A 2,351-nucleotide genomic window follows, 5' to 3' on the forward strand; every position below is an offset into this window, starting at 1 on the left:
AAGGAGGAGAGCTTTTTTCACTCCTATGAAGCACCCAGTCTCCCCAGCATGCCACCAAGCATGGCCTTGACCATTGCATCTATAATTTGACTAACAAAGAGCTAGTCAAAAGTAACAGAAACCTCTCAACTGGGATTTATAGGCTTGTAAGCACTGGAATTGTTATATTCCCTGGCAAATTTAATGTTCCAAATGTATATCTGCAGTGTCACTCCAGCCCTCCAATTAGAGCACAAACAGGAAAAGGGAAAAAAAACACTGAGAAATATTTGCTTTGAAATGAACTTTGGTGGAGATCTATTTAACGAACAGCTGCTGAGGAACTACCATGTTTTGGATGCTGTGCAGGGCACTGGGTTTACAATAATGGAGAAAAATCCATGATCCTTGCCTTTGTGTGAAAAACAAGCACAGAACAAATAATTACTAGTTATATGTGGTGTGATAAGCCCTCTGATGATTAAAAAAAGAAGGAACGTTGAGAAGTCATTAGACCAACCTACTCAAATTGTATGGAGAAGGATGGCCTCTCTGTAGAGAGAATATTTGAACAAAGGCCTGCTGAGTAATAAACCAAAGAAAATGAGGGAAAGAGCATTTCAGGCCAAGTGAATAGCATGTGGGAAAGAGCTTGAACTAAAATAAAATTAAAGACCAGCATGGCTGGAAAATAATAATGGGCAAGTTAAAGAGATGCAGGGGCTGAGGTGATCAAGTTGGAAAAGGGCTAGATCGCGTAGGACTTCTAGGACTTTCCATTTCATTTGAGGCACGGTATGAGCCCTTGCAGGATTTTAGGAAGAGGAGTGGCATAACATGAACTGCATTCTTTAAAGGCCACATGACTGAACATGTGGAGGGAGCCAGAATGGAAGCAAGAGACAAATATTAAAGGCACATAAATGTGGCAGATAGGGTGATGTGATAGAAATTGATGTAAGAGAGACAGAATGCTGGAGAAATGCAATTGAAAACGAAATCTCCTCCAAACCCAAACACTTCTCCACAAAGGTAGAAAACAATTTTAATGTTCAATAAGTATCAAACCAGACTGCAATGCACATTATAGGCAGACTGCTAAGAGATTTCAAACTGGAAAGTAATCTCACCCTTTTATATAGCCAAGCCCATTCAACCTGTTACATGCCTATTCTTAAGGTAAGCAACAACTACAGACAGTCCCCAACTTATGAGTTTGTGACTTTCCAATGGTATAATATGGATACATTAGAGACCATATGTCAAGTACTCATATAAACATTCTATTTTTCACTTTCAATACAGTGTCCAATAAGTTACATTAGAAATTCAATACTTTATTATGCTTTATGTTAGATGACTCTGCCCAACTGTAAGATAATAAAAGTGTTCTGAGCACGTTTAAGGTGGGCTTGACTAAGCTATGATGTTTGGTAGATTAGATGTATTAAATGCATTTTAACATAATATTTTCAGCTTACAATGAGCTTATCAGAACATAACCGGATCATAAAACGAGGAGCATCTATAGTCCTTAAGTGGACTTCACAGCATCATTTATTACAGATAGTTCATCCTAGATTCACCTGGTAATTAGGGTGGCCATCTGTGTTTGCTAATCAGCTTTATCAAAAGGAGATTTTTAACTTCTCAGATCTTTATGAAAGGAAGTAGCTTTGTAACTCGGAGTAAGGTACTCCTATCCTCCCACAGAGACTGGGAGATAAAGATGCAATCTCTCTGGATATTTACATTTCAAGGAGATGATCTCAGGTCCTTGAAAAAGACATTCCTGGGTCTTAAAGCTGATAAGAGACTATTCAGCTTTTTAAAAGGTTTACACACATTTCAAAGAGATAGAGAAATAACTTATAATTACAATTTTCTTAAGTAAATAATCTAAGAAAGGGAAGGGGGGGAATGGTCTCTTCCCTTATTTTCAACAGGGAGAGTTAAATCTCTTGTTTTTAATTTTTATTTGCTCTTTTTCAAGAGATAGATAAATGGATTTGAGACTACTGTACATTGGGTTATATGTGAAGATTGGAGGAGGAGAAACTAAAATGATGACCAGTTTGAGCAATTACATCAGTTAAACTGAAAACAGCTGTTCTAAAAAACATAAGGGCATGCCTGTAGGTTTGTCGTGAATGTCCACGTGAATGTAATGAAAATTATGTTAAGAAAATGCAGCATCACCAAAAATATTGTTTCACAAAGTTGTTCCCTAATAGCATTTAATGTCAACAAACAGAAGTGCCAAGCTTAGCAATTATGCAGGCAGCCAGCCCCCAAGCAGAGCAGTCACACATTTGCAGAGATGTGGGCACATCAGAGGGTCTATTGCTAAAGCAGACAAAGGACTTGTTCCA

The 2,351-nt window shown here is 37.8% G+C and overlaps 1 annotated feature.

Annotated features, from left to right (window-relative positions):
• Positions 1,460 to 1,986: an enhancer, noted in NCBI's record as "NANOG hESC enhancer chr6:79289792-79290318 (GRCh37/hg19 assembly coordinates)". NCBI's record gives its function as "activates a minimal SCP1, AML or CMV promoter by ChIP-STARR-seq in primed H9 embryonic stem cells {active_cell/tissue: H9 hESC(primed)}" and the evidence as "EXISTENCE:reporter gene assay evidence [ECO:0000049][PMID:30033119]".

The sequence above is a fragment of the Homo sapiens genome, chromosome 6, assembly GCF_000001405.40.
Source record: "Homo sapiens chromosome 6, GRCh38.p14 Primary Assembly".
NCBI classification, from domain to species: Eukaryota; Metazoa; Chordata; class Mammalia; order Primates; family Hominidae; genus Homo; species Homo sapiens.